General features: G+C 37.4%; 1 protein-coding gene across 6 annotated transcripts in view; it reads right to left on the reverse strand.

Annotated features, from left to right (window-relative positions):
* The window catches only part of PAK5 (p21 (RAC1) activated kinase 5), a 301,707-nt gene that overhangs the window by 189,914 nt on the left and 89,104 nt on the right, over positions 1-22,689 (reverse strand). For 2 of the 6 annotated variants that reach the window (XM_017027960.2, XM_017027961.2), the window contains exon 3: positions 3,289-3,394. The exons of 3 other annotated variants lie outside the window; for them this stretch is intronic. The gene's annotated coding sequence lies outside the window, so the exon portion shown is untranslated. Of the gene's footprint in view, positions 1-3,288; positions 3,395-15,021; positions 15,074-22,689 lie in introns of all 6 variants that reach the window. One more of the 6 variants, XM_017027962.2, reaches the window with a different exon arrangement.

A 22,689-nucleotide genomic window follows, 5' to 3' on the forward strand; every position in this document is an offset into this window, starting at 1 on the left:
GCAAAATCTTTTCACTGATTAACCAAATCAGTGTTTGAAGTGGGAGGTTTATGATGTCATGTGTTATTACTGGTGAAGTTAACCTTCTTCATTTGGTTAAGGTGGGGTCTGTCACACCATAAAAAGTTACTATATTTTTCCCTTTGCAATCAATAAATATCTTGAGGGTGACATTTAAGATTATGCAAACATCCTGCTCTCTACAAACTTTGTCCCAATATTTTTAGTATCTGTCAGTAGATTGTGTCTGCCACAATTGTTACTATGCTATTTGCCAAATGGTAATTTTCTGTTTCTCTCATTCCTTCTATGTTTATTAATTAGAATTCTTCAGTCAAGGAGAGCTGTCCCTTCTCCCCCATTTATTTATTTATTTATTCAATTATTTATTCATTTATATCACCATGTACATGTGGATATTTATTTTATTCTAAGGGTTATAATGCAAAACTCTTGCATATAATGCAAAATGATTTTATATTTGGTTGCCCCAATTTTTCCAGTTCTGGCCACTTGGGGCTCCTGCATGTTGGTTTCCGTGTCCTGTGTACATGTTCTTATTATTTTTGTGTGCTACCTTCCTTTTTGGCAACACAAAAATTCTGAGCAGTTCTCATAGTTTCCCTGCCCCAGCCATGGACTCAATCACTTCTTCAAGGAGACTCATTTTCTTTTATTGGAGAATGGTGTTTAGAAACCACCAAGATCTGGGTGCTAGGTGCTATAGTTTGAGTGTATGTGTCCCCCCAAAAATTTATATGTTGGAACTTAACCCCCAAGGTGATAATATTAACAAGTGGGGCCCTTGGGAGATGATTAGGCAATGAGGGCCCTGCCCTCATGGACAGGATCTACGGCCATAAAAGAGGCTTCAGAGAGCTGCTTTTGCCCTTCCATTCCTTCCACCACATGAAGACACCGAGATGGTGCCATCGATGAGGAAGGATCCTCCACCAGACACTGAACCTGGTGGTGCTTTGATCTTGGATTTCCCAGACTCCAGAATCACGAGAAATAAATTTTATTGTTTCTAAGTCACCCAATCCCGGGTACTTTGTTATAGTGCACAAATAAACTAAAATAAGAGGTGCGCTGTTTGCTACTGGGGTGTCATTAACTGTAGGTTCTCTCAGAGTTAGGAAATATACATATGTGTACTAACCCATGCATGTGCACACATCTGTATTATAGATAACCTCAATCTAATCACAAGAAGCCTTCAGACTAATCCAAATTGAGGGATATTTTACAAAATAGCTGAATAGTACACTTCAAAAGAGTCAAATTCACAAAAGAGGAAGGAAAAATAACTCAGTTTGCAAGACACTAAGGAGACAACAACTAAATACATTTTGGATCTTGGACTGAACAGAGAAAGGATGTTAATGAGAAAACTGATGAAATCAAACAAGGTCTATAAGTTCAGTTTACAGCAGGAGTTGGCAAACTACAGCCCATGGCCAAATCCTTCCTAGATCTGTTTTTTTTTTTTGTAAATAAAGTTTTATTGGAACACAGATACCTTCATTTGTTTACGCATTGTCTATGACTAATTTCTCACTACAATAGCGGAATTAAGTCGTAGTGACAGACACCTAAAATAGTTCCTATCTGGCTTACTACAAAATAATGCCAATTCTTCATTTATAGTATTGTGCCAATTTAAAATTCCAATTTTGGGTAATTGTATTATGGTTATACAATATGTTAACATTAAGGATGAAGAACATATGGAAATATTTATACCATTTTTTTGCAAGTTTTCTGTAGGCCTAAAATTATTTCATAAAAATACAAAAAAATTAGCTGGGCATGGTGGTGGGCACCTGTAGTCCCAGCTACTTGGGAGGCTGAGGCAGGAGAATGGTGTGAACCCAGGGGGTGGAGCTTGCAGTGAGCCAAAATTGTGCCACTGCACTCCAGCCTGGGTGACAGAGAGAAACTCCATCTCAAAAAAAAAAAATTCATAATAAAAATTTAAAATTTATTTGAATGAGATGCTAACATTTAAAATACAGGAGATTTCACATAAAACTTCTGTTTGTAGTTTCTTTTGAAAAGTTAGGATGTCTGATAATGGTGGCCAACAATCAGAGCAAACTGAAAGTTGGTACCTTTGATTAATGTGTATGATACTGCTGGTTGTTGTCTCAATATCCACTTCCATAGCATCAGAATCCTGATTTTATATAGGCACGAGGTATTATATAAAAGACCATATTTCTCAGTATCTCTTGTACCCACAGGTGGTCAATGGAATGCAAGCACAAGCGTTTTAGTGAGACTTTAGGGAAAGCTCATTAGAATGAGACGGCAGGCTGAATGAGCCCTATTTGATCTTCCCTGCTTCTACTGATTCTTGCCTAGAAAATTGATGTGATGGCTGGAGTTTCAGCAGTCCTCTTGGACCATGAAGTGAGAAAGAACTCATATATCTATCCCCACTGCAGGTAGAGCTCAAAGATAGAAGAAACCTGTGGTAGATTTGCTGTGTTTTGTTTTTTTGTTTTTTTTACATATTCTTGTACTCATGCCCAACATGGCAAAACTCTGTCTCTACAAGAAATACAAAAATACCACCAGCCAGGTGTGGTGATGTGTGCCTGTAGTCCCAGCTACTCTGGTGGCTGAGGTGGGAGGATTGCTTGAACCTGGGAGGTGGAGGTTGCAGTGAGCTGTGACCATGCCACTGCACTCAAGCCTGGGCAACAGGGAAAAAAAAAAAAAAAAAGAGAGAGAGAGAGAGAGAATTGTCTCGAAAAAAAAAAAAGAGAATTAGAATTTTTCAAACAAATGCTAAATCATGTTCTCCTAAAAACAGTCATAAAAATAGACATGTAAAATAATTAGTTATTTATATGATAGCAGATTTTAAAATATTTAAGATTATTTTTATTAAATATATAAGAAGTGTGTATTAAAATATATTAGAAGTGACAACCTATAAATTAAAATACTTAAGAGCTATTAACATTTTATATCTCTAACAAAAAGTAGTACAATTCAAATTGATGTTTTTATATTTACTATTTTTAAACTAAATGCCAGCTTTCATCAATAAAATTACCATGACAAGAGGATGTTTCAACTTATTAGTGCTACTATACTGCTATGTTTTCAGATAAATTTTTAAAAAGTACACTTCTGTGGAACCTTCTGCTTTTAAACAATTCTCTCAGTTACATAAGAAACTTAGGAATGTCAAGCCCTTGCTTTCAATTTAGGTATTTATCATTTCTTCTGCGTCACAAGCCTTTACCAAAAAAGCAAGAATATATGCACGCTTACGAGTGTCTCAGGCTCTGAAGACTCTTTGTAAAAGGTAGAAAGCTCTTGACAACAAACTGGAGAAGCTATGATGATATCGGTGTGTTCTTACATGTCATGCTGACTCCTGTGGATTGAAGGCATACACATACACCACTAAATTGCAGACACAAGCAACCACTATTAGCCCAAGCAAGTGATTTTCTGTTTCACTAAGCTCTGATTGCTGATTTCAAATTCTTGTATGCTGGTTTGCTGTGCTAACCCTTGATCTATTATATAAGGACTCAGCCTTATCTAATGAAAAATGACTGGGATTCACATTTGCCAATGGTTAACAGGAAACGTTTCCCAAAAGCAAATCCAGAGGTTAGATAAGAGAAAATTCCTGTGCTGCCATATTCAGCAAGAAACATCAGTGAGGTCCAGTGAACACTGACATAGTGGGAGAAAGCTTGGGTGGATATTATCTTGACAAGGCTTGATGTATGTAGGGACTGGGGGCTTCATTCACCAACACATTTTGGTTGAGCATATCCCCTTGGTGAAGAAACAAGCTCTAAAGTATCACTGTCTAATAGAAATATAATGTGAACCATAAAACATAATAATATAGAAGGTCTGAAGTGAATATAAAATGTCAAAATTAATAGAACAATTTTATAATCACATTATAATCAAATGTGAGTCACAAATATAATTTTAAATTTTCCAGTAGCTGCATTAAAAGGAAAAATAAAGAGGTGAGTTTAATTTTAATAATGCATTTTATTTAACAAAATATAACCAAAATATCACCATTTCAGCATGTATCAGTAACACATTTTCACTCATTTTTTTCATAATAGGTCTTTAAAATCCAGTATGTGTTTTATGCTTTCAGCACAAATCAATTTGGAGTAGCCACATTTCAAGTTCTCAGTAGCCACATGTGGTTAGTGGCTCCTGTATTGGGCATTCAAGTCTAGAGGAACTCTGTGATTTACTGTGATGGTTAAAGGATCTTTGGAATAGCAATAACCAGAGAGGAAAACAATGACATTTCAAATATAACAGATTAATAAAATTTCTAAAACATGTTGATAGAAATTATACTAGCAAGACAAAAGCTGACACCAACTAGTTGGGGTTTTATTTTAGTTTTAAAATATGCCTGTTCTAAAGCAGATACTTTGCAGTGTAGAGGAAGTATGTTAATGGAAATTGGCTCATTTGTAACTAAAGTACTTTGCAAGTAGACGAATTGTGGGGACATTAAAGTATGCCAGAATAAAATCCATTAAGCCTTAGTTAAAATCCCAAGCAAATAATAAAACACATTTATTTATATTCTGCAGCGTGGGTAATAAAACATAATAATATAGAAAGTCTGAAGTGAATATAAAATGTCAAAATTAATAGCACAGTTTTATAATCAGCTTCCAATGAAAGTATTAGTCTTTAAAACAGAATTCATTTACATGGAAAATTGACATGTAAGGATTTTCTCTTGAGTCAAATGAGCTCATTTAAATGATCTATAGATACATTAGGTCAAATAGAAGGTACAGAGGTCAGGTGGCATGTCAAGCTGTAAAACTTCTAGCCAAAAATTAGTACTGCATCAAAAATGGAAAAAACTCACTCTTCTGAAAGTTTAAGTTAAAAAAAAAGTTTTAACAGCTTAAGTACTCTAACATCAATAAAATATTTCAAGCATTAAGGCTGCCAAATTACCTGATAACTCAGTAATACTTAAAGTGTGCTTTCTAGGGTAAATTTTCATTTGCATTCCAGGAGATTATGAAACAAATAGTTTGTACCAAACATAAATGGAAAAAGTTATGCATTTTTAAAACTTTCTGATGATATATTATGCATGTGTTCATTATAGAAAAATTGGGAAAATGCATAAAAACACAAAGTAGAAAAAAAATCACTCAGAATTCCAGTACTCAAGACATTGTTGACATTTTAGTCTACATCCTTCCAGGTTTAAATTAGCATAATTATTACTGCCAGGTCTTTGTGATAAAATAAACTCATGTGAGCTCTCTTGTAGATCTGATTCCTCCAATAGCTCTGATAATTCCACTTGGTACATACATACCCACACACTTCCCTTTCCTACACAACTGTCTACCCAAGGGCTATAGGGAGTTCAAGGGTTCTCTAATCTTGGATTGGTCTGTCAATATCTGTCTCCTGTTTTGCTCTTTCTCTCACTCCATCCTCTTCAATCATACCCCAACAAAATCCCCAAAATAGTAAGACCTCTGTCTGGACATGCTTTCTTCCAGTTAGCTCTAAGATTTGTAATTCTCCCTTATTTGAGAAGAAATGGTGCTTGCGTAGACACCAATTATCATCTTTGATTATTTAAAACCCTAAAACAGTAGCATAATCTGGAAAAGACATCAACTTCTCTCTCTTACCAATACTGTTGGAACTAGCTGATAAACATAACACTTTGTTTGTATTTTACTGGACACTAATTTGTGTCTGGAAGAACCTACTTTCTCAGAACTAGATTTAAATATTTATCAGGTGTTTAAAAGGGCAGATACTGGCTAGGGACTGGATAGTGAATTATGCATAAATCAGACATGGTCTTTTGACCTCACAGAAGTAATAGTTTAGTAAGGAAGATAGTTTGTAATCAATTAAACAAATGCATGCATAATTACACACTGGGATAAATTCTTTGAAGGCAGTGAATATTGATGTTGAGATGAGATAATACATTACTTTTATTCAGCTTTATTGAGGTATAATTGATAATTTATGTATACATTGTGAATTAATTACCATAATCAAGCTAATTAGCATATTCAACACCTCACATAGTTACCAATCTCTCTTTCTTTCTTTCTTTCTTTCTTTCTTTCTTCTCTCTCTCTTTCTCTCTCTCTCTTTTTCTCTCTTTCTATCTTTTGACAGAGTCTTGCTCTGTCACCTAGCCTGGAGTGCAGTGGCACAATCTTGGTTCACTGCAACCTCTGCCTCCCAGGTTCAAGCAGTTCTCCTGCCTCAGCCTCCTAAGTAGCTGAGATTACAAGCAGGTGCCACCACACCCAACTAATTTTTGTGTTTTTAGTAGAGACTGGGTTTCACCATATTGGCCAGACTGGTCTTGAACTCCCGACCTCAAGTGATCCACCCGCCTCATCCTCCCAAAGTGCTGGGATTAGAGGTGTGAGACACCGCACCTGGCTCTTTCTTTCTCTTTTTAAACAACATTACTCGTCTTAGTTCCTGCCATGATGGCTGGTCATTTGAAAGACTGGCAAGAATTCAGGAAGTTTCTCTACCCATCTCTCCAGACCTGATTCTCTGCTCAGAAGCATACCACTACGGTACAAAAGTAAAAATAAAAATTAAAAATAAAGTCCAAACACAATGATCTGTGTGGAGAGTTCCTACACTGGTTTTAACACATTTTAAATGGCTTCCTAAGGTTGGGTCATTAACATGAGGATGCTCTCCTTTTAATGTGAAGTAGAAATCCTTCCAAAGACCATCATAGAGAAGAAGGTGTCTTGAGGAAGCTTCTGTTAGATTTCCTGTGGTAATAGGTGAATTTATCCTGTTAACTCTACTGTGGGCTTGAAGTTGATCTCAGATGTGCTAAAAGAAAAGTTGTAATCTCAAAGTTTTTGACAGCTTTCTGTATTAGGAAAGTTGAAAACCTGGGGAAATGTTTGGGTCTTTGTTTACAAGAAGCTCTATATTGAGTGTCAGTATATGCAAAAGCAGGCCAAAGGTCTGTTTGGAAAAAGTCAAAGAGCTAGGATGGCCTCCATGGAAGAGTAAAATGAATTTGGTAATGGTGAGTGGGAAATTAAATAAATCAAAAAGGGAATGATAAGAGAAGGGATACATACAGGGAGAGACAGACTAACAGACAGAGATACAGAAATGACATTAGGGAATAGAAGGAGAAACAAAAGAGAAATATGTACACAGAAAGATACAAGAAGAAAGCAAGAGAGAAAAAGACTGATAGACACACACGCGCACATGCACACACACACACACACACACATACACACAGGCCACGGGGTGGGAGTCAGAGAAAAACCCCAGGACCTGCTAATAATTCACACAGCCAGTGAGAATTTCCCTGTAGCTAAAAATGTCTGATGCTTTCAGAAATGTTAATAACCAACACTGATCTAAAAGTTTTCTCTCATTGTGTGTAATAACTACTCTCTGTAAATCTTAATAAAGTCGTCTAGCAAATATTTCCCCTAGCATTAGAGGTGTTTTGCAGAAACGAAGGAAGAGACAGGTAACCAGTCTAGGACAACCATACTGGTGAGAGAAGATGCTATGGGATACAAGAGCCCCAGAACAACAAAAGGGAGAAACAGGTTTCCCTGTGGCTGACTCAGAAGTGGTGAATGAACTGTCATTTGTCAAAATTATTCTTGAGGAAAGTATACAGAATACATAATGCTATGTACAGGAAAAGGATTTTTCATTTATTGAATATTTACTAGCTATGTGCTTTAAAGATCAGATCTCATTCTTTAAAATAACCCTACCAATTGGTTGTAGACACTTTCATTTTTTCATATTAAAAAAATCAAGGCCTAAGAAAGAATTTCCAGGATGTGGTGCAGGGAGGGGGAACCCAGGAAAAGATCAGTTCCCTGAGTTTTGTTGACTGAGCTAAGAGACCAAAGAGACAAAAGGAGCTGGAGTTTTCCAGACGGAGTACCAGAGGGGAGAGCTGGAGAGAGACTGGGGTAGGGGGAAAGTGAGGCAGGAGTGAAAGGAAAAAATAAAAAATTCCAGAGAATCAGAGATTTGTACAATGTCTCCCTCAAGTATTCGACTGAGTAGTGATCAATTCAAGCATGTGAGGAAACTACTTGAGGCTGAGGAAAGAACCACCTAAAACGTTTAGAGGTTACCATGGCCAACCTTCACACAAGGCCAGGAATGGTTTCTGTTTTCATCAGCAAGACTGGAAAGGCCGAAGATCCGTGGACGTTAGGTAAAGTACTCAGGAAGGTCTTGCCAAAATAGATGGGAATAATTACCCCAGATTGAGCGCTGCCCTAGTTGCACTGAAGAAATCTTCAAGCAAGACTAAAAAAACAAAAAATAGAAACAAAAACAACAAAAAACAGCTTCCATGTAACTTAACTGTGTCTCAAAACAAAGCTCAAGAATATTGATAGGACTATAAAAATATCCACCACTGGCCAGGCGCAGTGGATCATGCCTGTAATCCCAGCACTTTGGGAGGCTGAGGTAGGTGGATCACCTAAGGTCAGGAGTAGTTCAAGACCAGCCCAGCCAACATGACAAAAACCCGTCTCTACTAAAAATACAACTTTGAGACATAGCAATAGAAACAATCTATTTTTTTTTTTTTTTTGAGATGGAGTTTTGCTCTTGTTTCCTAGGCTGGAGTGCAATGGCATGATCTTGGCTCACCACAACTTCCAACTCCCAGGTTCAAGTGATTCTCCTGCCTCAGCCTCCCGAGTAGCTGGGATTACAGGCATGCACCCTCACCCCCAGCTAATTTTGTATTTTTAGTAGAGATGGGGTTTCTCTATGTTGGTCAGCCTGGTCTTGAACTCCCGACCTCAGCTGATCCACCCACCTCGGCATCCCAAAACTCTGGGATTACAGGCATGAGCAACTGCGCCAGGCCAATAGAAACAATTTAAAATGAAACACATAGGGAAATGATCTAAAATAAATGAACAACATATGACCAACCTGTGGAACAACTTCAAGTAGCCTAATTTAAGTGTCAGTGGATTTTCTAGTGAAGAGGATACAAAGGAAGGGACAAAAGAGGCATTTGAAGATATAATGGTTGAATAAATTTCCAAACTTAATGAAAATAATGTATCTAAAGATTTAACAAGCCCAGTGAATCCTGTCAAAAATAAAATCAGATCAAATTAAAAATTTTTTAAGTTTATTGTGCATATAAAATAATAGTTCATGAACTAAGTGACCTCAAGCCCAGTCATAAGAGGAAGCTCAGAGGCATGATGTTACAGGCTGGCTTACACAGCAAAAATGGGGAAGTTGTTTAACCTTTAAAATGATGGGTTATTATCATGAAGGTTTCAAGATCACAGAGGATTGGTTGAAAGTGCTCATCTTATACCATCTTTAGAAGGCAACTTAAGATTGGTTTACGATGATCAGAAGTGTTTACAAGAAATAACTTTAAGTTTCGCTTATGTGGCCAAATTGGCTTTGTCTGTTCAGAGAATTCTGAAGTCTGGTCTCCATGTTATTTTATGTTCACAACTCCAGGCACAAGAAACATGAAGAAAATGACACTATAACACATCATAATTATATTGCTCAAAAACAGTGATAATAAGAAAGTCTCAGAAGAAGCCAGTGGGGGAAAATATATGAACAGAGAAAAATAAAGTTGCCATCAGATTTCTTATTAGAAACAGTGCAAATAGGAAGACAGTAGAGCTAAATCTTTACTGAAAGAAAAAAAACCCATCAATCTAGAGTTCTATGTCCAACAAAAATATATTACAACATTGAAAGTGAAATAAAGATATTTTGAGACAAAAAAAAAAGCCTGATGGAACAAATAGAAAAGACATAGCAAGGTGATGGACATAAACTGAACCATATCAATAATCACATTAAATGTAAATGGTCTATACACCCCATTAAAAGACAGAGATATCAGATTGGATAAAAAAGCAAGACTCAACTCTGTGCTGCCTCTAAGGAACACAGTGTATAGATAGACACAAATAAATTGAATTAAACAATGGAAAAGGATAGGCTAGAACTAACCAAAAGAAAGTTGGAATGCTTATTAATATCATAAAACATAGATTTCAGAGCAAACAATATTACCAAGGATAAATTTCATAACAATAAAAGAGAGAATTCATCAAGACTGAACAATCCTAAATGTTTATATGCCTAAAAACAGAGTTTCAAAATACATAAAGCAAAAGCTGACAGAACTACAAGGAGAACTAGACAAATATGCAATTATTATTGAAGATTTAATGCTATCTCAATAACTGATAGAATAAATACAGAGAAAATGTTTTAATTGCAGTAGTAATTAGTAATAATTAAAAAAAAGCAAGCAACCCAACTAAAAAATGGGCAAAAGATTTTGAAAAGCCTTTAATGAATAGCCCTTCATGAATATTTAGAGATGACAACTATACACATAAAATATTTTCCATATCATTAGTCATTAGGAAAATGTAAAATGAAAACAAAATAGAGTATCACTGTGTTCTTATTAGAATTGCTATAATTTAAAAGATTAACCATACCAAGTGTTAGTAAGAATGTGGAGGAACTGGGGCTGGGCACGGTGGCTCATGCCTATAATCCCAGCACTTTGGGAGGCCGAGGTGGGCAGATCATGAGGTCAAGAGATCGAGACCACCCTGGCCAACATGGTGAAACCCCATCTTTACTAAAAATACAAAAATTAGCTGGGTGTGGTGGCACGTGCCTGTAGTCCCAGCTACTTGGGAGGCTGAGGCAGGAGAATTGCTTGAACCTGGGAGGTGGAGGTTGCAGTGAGCCGAGATCGCACAACTGTACTCCAGCCTGGTTACAGAGAGTGAGACTCGGTCTCAAAAACAAAAAACAAACAAACAAACAAACAAAAAAACAATGTGGAGGAACTGGAACTCTTACACATTCTCGGTGGGAATGGAAAATTGTATAACCCACTTTGGAAAACAGTTTGGCAGCTTTTAATAATGTTAAACATATGCCTACTATATGATCCAGCCATTTCATGCCTAGGTATTTACACCAGAGAAATAAAAGCATATTCCCATACAAAGGCTTATATACACATTTATAATAACCTTATTTGTAATAGCCAAAAAGTGGAAACCACACAAATGTCCATCAACAGGTGAATGTATAAACAACTTGTGCTATATTCATACTATAGAGTACTGTTTAACAATAAATAGAATAAAATATTGACACATGCTACAACATGTATGAACCTTAGCATAATTATGCTGAGTTAAGGAAGCCAGAGGAAAAAAACATACTGAACGATTTCATTTATATAAAATTCTAGGAAATGCAACTTAACATACAGTGTCAGAAAGAAGATCAGTGGTTTCCTGGGGACAGAGGTTGGGCAGACAGGAAAAGGCATGAGAGAAATTTTAAAAGGCTGTAATAAAACTTCAGAGTGATGGAGATGTTTGCTATCTTGATTAAATTGATGACTTCATGGTTGTATACATATGTCAACATGTATCAAATTGCATACTTTAAATATGGGCAGTTTGTGTGTGTGTGTGTGTGTGTGTGTCAGTTACAATGCAATAATGCTGTTCATTTTTTTAAGGAGAGTAAACATTCAGTTTTTTAGCTGCAATAGTAACATTTCAAGTGCTTGATAACCACGTGAGGCTAATGGCTACTGTCTGGTCTGTGCAGATATAAACATTTCCATTAATGCTGAAAGTTCTTCTAGACACAACTGCTCTAACTCCTCTACTGTATTTAATAAGTGAATGATAAATTTAAAAAGCACACAGGGATTATTCTTCCTTTCACAAATGCTTCAGGTACTTTATCCAGTATTTACAATACTCTGTAATATATGCAAAGTCTCTCAAATATCATGATGCCACACCACAGTGAAACATTTTTCTTTCTGCAGTTGAATCAACACAAGTTCTTTCTTTGCTTTCTTTTTTTTTTTTTTAAATCACAGCTTGAAACCATTTTCTAAGTGCTCACTGACTTCTCTACTTGGCTAGAGCTATAGAAATAACCAAACATTCCAGCTGCGTAAAATGATCTCTGTATTTAATCTCTCTTGTTATACAGAGATAACAAGAAACTTGCATGCATTTGGAGTGCAACTCATGTTTGTGAAATATATTACTATACTGAAATTGCTGGCTCTTCTAATATCATCCTTAGTTTATGTTATGGGAGTTGAATTTCAAATCACCAGAAATTCAGAAACAGGTACACTAAATTACCTGCCCAAGGGACAGTGCCATTTTTAATTTATGCTATACTTTCTTTTGATTTTTAAATAGTCTTTTCCAAAAGCTAAATGACATCAATTTTCGATATGAACCTGTACCTCTGCCCCAACTTTTTCTCAGGGGTCAGATTAGTGACCTGAGTGTGACTGAATAATCAAACTTTTTTGAATAATCAATAATTTTCCAAGCATAATTTGAGAGAATACAAGACTGACTGGAGGATAGAAGGGAAGTATGTTTTGTTCTCAGAAAAGTCCAGTTACAAGAAAATGCTCAAGATAGAAGCATATCTTCTCACCATGATTCTCAATTTGGAATCAGTTAAGATAAAAGTGAGGGTCAAAAGGCCTAATCAAACTTGGACATCGACCCATGAAAACACAGGTCGTCACTGAAGCAGTCAAAGTCTTTGCTTCTGTCTAGCTTTTCATGCTCAGTTCAGTATCTCATGCCAACCAGAAGCTATATTTGGCAGTTGCACATATTTCATATTTTAGAGGGAGAAATAATTATTAAGAACTCTGGTACAAAGAAATTTCCAAATGTGGAGTCTATAGGGAAAAGGAATTAAAAGCGTTCTTTGGTGGAAAAATGTCGGAGCCACTACTGGACTTTAACAGCAAACACCTTAATTAAGTGTTAATACCTTGGCAGGGATTAGTTGACTGCTGGCAGAGAACAAGGTGCTCGCACAACCGAAGGATTAGAAGGGAGCCTGGCAGCAATGTGAAGGCTCTAAATACCAGGGGCTTATTTGGGGAGTGGGGCATGTCTAAGACAAATTGGTATTCTCTAGAAATGATGTGAAAGGCATTTGTGTGGAGGTGGAATAAGAGGCCTGGCTCTGTCTTTTTGCTATCCCTAACCTGCTAGGTAACCTGTAGATTTGGTAATGCCTCCATCATTCACCCTCCTTTTACCTATACCTTTTGCCATGTAACATTGCAGTGGCTCCCCAAAAGGTAGTTATACTTCTCTACCCCGTGTGACTTGCTTTGGCCAACAGACTGAGCAACGTATTTGTCCTCTAAGACTACATCTTGAGAGACCTATGTGTTTTCTCTTGTGCTCTTGCACCACTGCCCTGAACTTGAGAACGTACCTTGGCTAGCCTGCTGGAAGATGAGAGACAGAGCAGATTCGAGTTGCCCCAGTCTTTTGAGCGGAGGCCAGCCTCAATCAGCCAACAGCCAGCCAAGTACAGAAATGCAAGTGAACCTAGCTAAGCCAAGATCATAAGAGCTGATTCAAGATCAATGAGCAATAAACATTCATGGCAATATGCCTCTGAGGTTTTGTAGTTGTTTGTTATGCAGCATGACTGCAGCAGTAGATAACTGATAGGGCACACATGCTCTCTGAAATGATTGGAAATGAAAGGGTTTAACTAGATGGTCTCTCAGGTGCCATACAGCTCAGCCTTCTGCAACTGAACCAACACAAAGTCTTGGGCTGACCCATCAAAATCTTTTCTCTGTCACCTTAGACATACCTATCACAGAATGCACTGTCAAACTCTACCCCATCAATTGCCTCTAAGTTAACCTTATCTATGCAAAGTCATCTGCTGGACAATTATAATTTACAAGATTTGTGCACTTTACTTTTTAAATTGTCTGCAAAGTTGAAAGACAGGAGTGACAAATTTATGGCTCCATGAGACCCAGTAAAGCTTCCGTTTGCTTACAGAGAATAGAGAGAGAAAGGAAGAAAAGAGGGAAGAAACACAAGAAGAAGGGAAATAAGAAGGGAACAAGACAATCCAATACCTTAATGAATTGTGCACACTCCTTTAGATTACCCTTGAGCCCACCGTTATTTTTCTTATCCCAGCCAATCTCACTCAATTACATTATACACACAGTCCCGGGAGGAATCTAAGTATGTCTAGCACGGTTAGCAATAACGCTTTTGGAATAAGCTTTCGGAGGAATGAGCTCAATATTGCTTTTGGATTAAGCTTTCGGAGGAATGAGCTCAAGTCTCCACTCTCTTGGTTAAGAATGATATGACTTTGGCAAGCTACTTGACCCCTTTTAGCCTCAATTTTTTCATCTATAAATTAAAGATTAATACCTGTCCAGACTACTTCAGAGGGTTATTCTGAGGAGAAAATGTGACAACATCTGTAACACTGATTTAAAAACCCTAACGTGCTTCAGAAAATGTTAGGCTCTATCATGAGGACAGTTGCTAAGGGCAAAGGTCTTTGTTAGGGAAGTGATAAGGTAACTAACTTAGTTAAGACCTGGGGATCTCTCGAGGTCTTGCATGGAATCTTTGATACATCCACTTCTTCAAGCAACACTAAGAAGGATCCCAATGATCTAGCAGAGAAAAAAAAAAACTCCTCCCTCTTTCCTGTCTTGAAAGCAATACTTGGAAAAATATCAGGCTACCCTTGGAAGTAGCTACTCAGGGATCTTGCCTTTGTGTCCTTACTTTAAACCCTACCTTAGAAAGATAAATGGAGGTTGGACGCTAACGGTGGTCCCAAGGTGAACAGATTTTCTTAAGGCACAGAGCAGGGAGAGCTGAATAAGGTCATGTGCTATCCAACCCTCACCACCCAAGGGTATCCAGGTGCCACACAGAGCTGACCTTCTTAGAGAAGATTCAAATAAGGATCCTCCCCCCACCCCAATGTTACTGTGAATCTGTGCACAGCAAGAAAATCAACAGACAGATGGCACTGTAAATATCAGGTGCCAAGTGTACACTGCTTCTTCTATGCAAAAGCCAAATAAAAAGTGAAAGAAAATTGTCTTACTTTTATTATTGTCTCCATACAAAGGTTAACTATGAAACTGAAGCAGATCGGCCTGTAATAAAAATAAGAGCCCCATTATTTCACCCAAGTCACTTTCTCATTAATCAGATGGAAGTGGGCTTTAATTGTTTTAATCTTGTGCAATAAAAGCATCTAAATATCCTATAAATAAATTATACACACTGATGATCACTCTCTTAGCTGAAGTCCCTTAGGCATCTTCAGTATAAGCAAATATACCAATTTCTGTTCAAACTGCAGACATTCCACTCACAACCTTTGCTGTTACATAGTCCTCTTTCATTTCTGCTGTTTTCCCTATATTCCTGTTGCAGAAAACTCTCTCTCTATCATTTCAGGATGGACCTAAAAAAAATTGGTTATCTGGATTTATCTACATACTTGATCTCCAAATGGTAAGGCCTCAAAAGTTCCACCAATATCTGGGTACAGTCATAAGCAAACATTCCTCAAACATGCCTAAAACATAATTCACGTGTAGGAAAAAGAATTAACAGTGGATCTGTCACTTGTTCTTTCCCTCCTTGGGATGTCCCTGAGGATGCATTGACCTAGACAAGAACAGATCTTGTAAACACTGTGATGGGATTTACTAACAGGACGATAACCCAGAAACTTCTCTAAGGTTTTAGCAGGTTATTCCTGGTCTGCCTTGATTGCTTCAGGTAATTAGCTGGAATTTATGAGACATAGTCTGCTGGAGAATGGACTTTAGTCATGTAGGCTCCCTACCTGTGTGACTAATAAAGTATAAAAAACTGGCCAGGCATGGTGGCTTATGCCTGTTATCCCAGCGCCTTGGGAAGCTGAGGCAGGAGGATCGCTTGAGCCCAGGAGTTTGAGACCAGCCTGGGTAACACAGGGAGACATCGACTCTACGAAAATAATAAAAAAATTAGCCAGGCATGGTCTTGAACACCTGTAGCCCAAGCTACCTGGGAAGCTGAGATGGGAGAATCACTTGAGCCCAGGAGGTTGAATCTGAAGTGAGCCATTATTGTGCCACTGCACTCCAGCATGGGTGACAGATAGAGCAAGACTCTGTCTCAAAACAAGCAAACAAGCCAAAAAAAAACAAACGAAACAAAACAAAACAAAACAAACAAACAAACAAAAACAACCCTGAAAAGCCCTAAATCTAAATGGCTTAAACTGAACTAACTTGTATCAGACTCTTAGGTAATGCCTGTCAGTGACTCCTAAACCAAAATGCATCCCAGTGCAGAAAAGGGGATCTTTAGGAAGTGTATCAGAGGTGCAAGGCCCCTTCAGAAATAGACGTTGGAATACTGAGATTGTGCTTATGATTTGCTCATATTTTTTGCTAGTTATCAGTGACATTTCTATGTTGGGTAGGGTCCATGATGCTTTGTGGAACAACAATGTGCTAGAAACAATATCTATTCTTAAAGAGTAAGTAAATATTTCAAGGGAAATGCCCTAATTCTTTGAAGTCTGTGGTGAGCTGAAAATGGCCCCTCAAAAGATATCCACGTCCTCATTCCTGGAACGCATAAGTTTTACCTTACATGGCAAAAACTTTGCAAGTGTGATTAAGCTCAGGATCTTGAGATGTGGAGATAATCCTGGATTATCCAGGTGTACCCTAAATACCATCATATATATCCTTACAACAGAGAGACAGGGTGAAATGACACACAGAGGAGATAGCAATGTGAAGAGAGGGATTTGAAGATGCTGGCCTTGAAGACTGCAGGATGTGGCCACAAGCCAAAGAATGCTGGAATCCACCAGAAGCTGGAAGAAGCAAGGAACAGATGGTCTCCTATGGCCTCTGGAGGAAGTGGGTCCCTGTAGATACCTTATTTTTAGGTCATTGATAATAACTTCAGATTTCTGGCCCCCAGACTGAGAGAATAGATGTCAACTGTTTTAAGCCACCATGTTTGAGGTAATTGGTTACAGTGGTCACAGGAAATTAATACAGAGCCTAAAGATTAATACAAAGTCCTGAAACATCAGTTCATTAAGTATAAACAAAAACCCAAGTAAGCAATATGGCTTCTTCTAGAACAAATAATTTATGCCTAATAGCTCATTCAACTGGCAAAACTGGCTTGTGCTCCTAATGTAAGAGCTAGATCATTTAAGCTCATTATAAACAAAGACTTTTCTGATGACATTGGCATTCCCAGTCTTCACAGACCTTTAAAATAAGTTTAGTAAGTGGATAAATGAGTTAAAATATTAACAAAGTAAGAGCTTGGAATAAACATCAGCAATTATTGACTAAATGGGGGATTGTGGATTGAATAGACAATTGGCAGACCCTTGGGATTATCTCCCTGAAGAAACAGCATCACAGCAGAACTTCACATGAATGAGATGTGTGTGGTCAACCACCAGCTTGAATGATGTTCCACACCAGCTCAAGGTCATGCATGCTGTGACTTCAGCCTATCTCCTCTTGCCTTTGGGGTAATGGTTGACACACCCACAGCCCTCAGCATGGTTTCTTGTTTTGTTTCCACATCACTCTCAAATTTCAAGTTTTGTTTTTCATGCTACTATGATTTGGTTCCTGCTCTGTGGTTTCAGCAAAATCAGCTCATTTTAACTATACTGAGAAGCATCTTGGGAAATGAGTGGTTTAGGTTGCCCATGGTATAAACTGCTGAAAAAATTTTAACAACAGGAGAATGGGGATAGAGAGAGGACAGTAGACAGACACTTCACTCTTTCCAAGTCCCATTTTCAGAGTATGTTCTTAGTATTTGATTTGAGATGAAGCCATCCCCAGTCAAAAGTAAACAGAACATATATTACAAAGCTAACTATAAGTAATATTAATTACCTGACATTGGGGCTCATTCATTCTTTTTCTTCTTTCAATCTTAGCGATTAATTGAAAGTTGTCAGTATCAAGTTATTTCTTACTAAATTGCCATCATTTAGTCAAAAGCTGAAAATGGTGCATTTATCTTTTTTTAATGTCATTTTTGCTGTGAGTGACACCACATCAAAAAGCAATTTTTGCTTTTAATATATGAATCACATTCGACATATCACCAATGTCACAGTTCATCCTCTTAGAACAAGCTTGTAGAACTGTGACATTGGTGACTCAGTTTGTGAAATGAAAAGGGCCACAAAAAGGAAAAAATCCTTTACAGCTATTAAATTAAGCAAATAATAGGTGGTCAATTTAATACCTATAACTCATCTTGGCTAATGAATGGGTTACAAAATGATTAACCTAATTTATTAGTGTTGCAATATTCTGGGTACTCTATATTATTTTCATGCGTTGATCTTACACTTCTACACTAGTGCCTCTTTACCTGTAATGTGTACATGAATGCCTTGGTGAAAGGCAGGTTCTAGCTTTGTAGGTCTGGGGTAGGACCCAAAAATCTGCATTTTAACATGCTTTTGGTGATACCAATGCTGCCACTCCATGGATCACATTTTATGTAGTAACGTTTTAAATGAATGAAGAACAGAAAAATGAGTTAATTCTGCCTAAATCCTCTAAATCTGAAAAGAAAAATGAGATAATAAAAGAAGGGGGAATGCCAATGTAACAACTAAAAAAAAAGAGAAATATGAATCCAGTTTGGTGGAATATATATTGTTTTCTCAGTACTTGTGGCCTCAGCTTTTTCTCCCCTAAAAATCAGTAATCAAGAGAGGATATGCATCAAAGAGAAGAAAGTTTTAAAAAATGACTCAGAGAAAACCCAATGTTAATAAAAAATGTTCCCAAAACTTTCTCATCTCCCATACAGAGAATAAAATCTTCTCTTATCTGGTAATGATCTTCCAAAGACTGAGATAGCCTTTTATTTGTTATCCAAAGGACAAACTTCCCAGACACTTCCCTTTTGGCTGATAGACTTCATACAGCCATAGCCCTGCCCTGCCCCACACACCCTGGACACCTGTCTCTTAAGGCGCTTTCCCATTGAGGGCTGCCTCCATCATGGCAGTGCAGGTCTTGGAACGCATCTTTTCTCTATCACCTACATCCCTGCCCAGGCTTTCTTGTCCAGAAACCGCACAGACATTCCTCGAGCTGAACCAGAAAAGCCAACAGTACCAAATCTCTAACTTTTTAAAAATGTATTCTTCAAATTGACATATGGCTTACTACAATATATACAACATACTACAGTAAAGTGCACAAATCTTAAGTGTATGGCTCAATGAATATTGGCATATTTGGACACCCATGTAACAACAACTCAGACCAAGATCTAAAGCCGTGCCATCCAATAGAATTTTCTGCAATGCTGGAAATGTTCCATAAAAAAAGATAATTATGCACTAATTCATTAGCCATTAGCCACAGTGTTATGAGCACCTCAAATCTCATTAATGTGAATGAGAAACTTATTTAATTAATTCAATTTCAAATAGCCACAGTGGCTAGTGGCTGCCACAGGAACCGCACAGACATTCCTTGAGCTGAACCAGAAAAGCCAACAGTACCAAAAGCAAGAGCAAACACATTCAAAAGCTAGCAGAATGCAAGAAATAACTAAAATCAGAGCAGAACTGAAGGAAATAGAGACACGAAAAACCCTTCAAAAAATTGATGAATCCAGGAGCTGGTTTTTTGAAAGGATCAACAAAACTGATAGACCACTAGCAAGATTAACAAAGCAGAAAAGAGAGAAGAATCAAATAGACGCAATAAAAAATGGTAAAGGGGATATCACCACCGATCCCACAGGAATACAAATTACCATCAGAGAATACTACAAACACCTCTACGCAAAAAAACTAGAAAATCTAGAAGAAATGGATAAATTCCTCGACACGTACACCCTCCCAAGACTAAACCAGGAAGAAGTTGACTCTCTGAATAGACCAATAACAGGAGCTGAAATTGTGGCAATAATCAATAGCTTACCAACTAAAAAGAGTCCAGGACCAGATGGATTCACAGCCGAATTCTACCAGAGGCACAAGGAGGAACTGGTACCATTCCTTCTGAAACTATTCCAGTCAATAGAAAAAGAGGGAATCCTCCCTAACTCATTTTATGAGGCCAGCATCATCCTGATACCAAAGCCGGGCAGAGACACAACCAAAAAAGAGAATCTTAGACCAATATCCTTGATGAACATTGATGCAAAAATCCTCAGTAAAATACTGGCAAACCGAATCCAGCAGCACATCAAAAAGCTTATCCACCACGATCAAGTGTGCTTCATCCCTGGGATGCAAGGCTGGTTCAATATACGCAAATCAATAAATGTAATCCAGCATATAAACAGAGCCAAAGACAAAAACCACATGATTATCTCAATAGATGCAGAAAAGGCCTTTGACAAAATTCAACAAACCTTCATGCTAAAAACTCTCAATAAATTAGGTATTGATGGGACGTATTTCAAAATAATAAGAGCTATCTATGAAAAACCCACAGCCAATATCATACTGAATGGGCAAAAACTGGAAGCATTCCCTTTGAAAACTGGCACAAGACAGGGATGCCCTCTCTCACCACTCCTATTCAACATAGTGTTGGAAGTTCTGGCCAGGGCAATTAGGCAGGAGAAGGAAATAAAGGGTATTCAATTAGGAAAAGAGGAAGTCAAATTGTCCCTGTTTGCAGATGACATGATTGTATATCTAGAAAACCCCATCGTCTCAGCCCAAAATCTCCTTAAGCTGATAAGCAACTTCAGCAAAGTCCCAGGATACAAAATCAATGCACAAAAATCACAAGTATTCTTATACACCAATAACAGATAAACAGAGAGCCAAATCATGAGTGAACTCCCATTCACAATTGCTTCAAAGAGAATAAAATACCTAGGAATCCAACTTACAAGGGACGTGAAGGACCTCTTCAAGGAGAACTACAAACCACTGCTCAATGAAATAAAAGAGGATACAAATAAATGGAAGAACATTCCATGCTCATGGGTAGGAAGAATCAATATCATGAAAATGGCCATACTGCCCAAGGTAATTTATAGATTCAATGCCATCCCCATCAAGCTACCAATGACTTCCTTCACAGAATTGGAAAAAAACTACTTTAAAGTTCATATGGAACCAAAAAAGAGCATGCATCGCCAAGTCAGTCCTAAGCCAAAAGAACAAAGCTGGAGGCATCATGCTACCTGACTTCAAACTATACTACAAGGCTACAGTAACCAAAACAGCATGGTACTAGTACCAAAACAGAGATATAGATCAATGGAACAGAACAGAGCCCTCAGAAATAACACCACATATCTACAACTATCTGATCCAAATCTCTAACTTTTTAAAAATGTACTCTTCAAATTGACATATGGCTTACTACAATATATACAACATACTACAGTAAAGTGCACAAATCTTAAGTGTATGGCTCAATGAATATTGGCATATTTGGACACCCACATAACAACTCAGACCAAGATCTAAAGCTGTGCCATCCAATAGAATTTTCTGCAATGCTGGAAATGTTCCATAAAAAAACATAATTATGCACTGTCTAATTCATTAGCCATTAGCCACAGTGTTATGAGCACCTCAAATCTCATTAATGTGAATGAGAAACTTATTTAATTAATTCAATTTCAAATAGCCACAGTGGCTAGTGGCTGCCATGTTGAACAGCACAGCCCTAGAACATTTCCAGCACCTCAGAAGTTTCTCTCGTGCCCTGTTCCTGCCAGTATCCTCCAAACTTAACTCCTCTTCTGGCCTCCATTACCGCAGGTTAGTTTGGTTATCTTTAGTTTAAATTTATTGTGATTGAAAAACATATTTTAGTTTTTTAGATCTGGTGCTTTATTTGTATGAATAATATGAAAGCAATTAAGAAATAACCCCATAGCTGTGCACAAAAAAACTCAGTATCTTACTTTACTATTGTTATTATCATTGACATTATTATTTCAAATACTTACTAGTTCTCACTTGGCAGTAATTAATTTTTGAAATATCCATTGAGAGCTACCAACTCACATACATAATTCACACACACACAATTCAGATAAAAATATAACCTTCAACTTATCCAGTATTCATTTAAAATAATATAGAGACAGAACTTTCTAATAATCTATAATTCTTATAAAACATATCTGATATTTGAATGTATACAATTGGTTTTATGCCTTTTCCCACTTATGAGGTTGAAAAATCCTGATGACAATGATTATTTAAGATCTGACAAAATACAGAAAACTGTTTTGTACATAGCACCTGTCCAGGGCTCACTCATGGAAAGCAGACGATAAATGAGGGTTCTGAAATAAGTACTAATTTAAATGCTTGTTTTGAAATGAATGTTAATGGGAAGTCATATTATTGCTGTTCCATAGATTGATGTAATCACATGTATTTCCTGCCTTTTATAATATTTATTACCCACTAAATTATTGCTACAAAAAGTAGCCAGTATACAAACTGTTTGTTCTGATCCATGACAAGACAAGGAATCCGCACAAGGATGTAAATCAATTCATTGCTTCCTTCATCAGGAAAGTCTTATGTGAGAGAAGCATCAGCTGGACTACAGTTTAACTGGACTGGACAGGGTGTTGAATGATTTACATGGTAGCCCAAGTTCCATATCTCCTTGCTGACCAGTAACACTCAGTTTGCAGATGGCACACGTCCTCAGGCCAGATTTTGAGCGTCACTGCCTTACGTTATCAGCTCTTAAAAGCTGCATTT

The sequence above is a fragment of the Homo sapiens genome, chromosome 20, assembly GCF_000001405.40.
Source record: "Homo sapiens chromosome 20, GRCh38.p14 Primary Assembly".
Taxonomy (NCBI): Eukaryota; Metazoa; Chordata; class Mammalia; order Primates; family Hominidae; genus Homo; species Homo sapiens.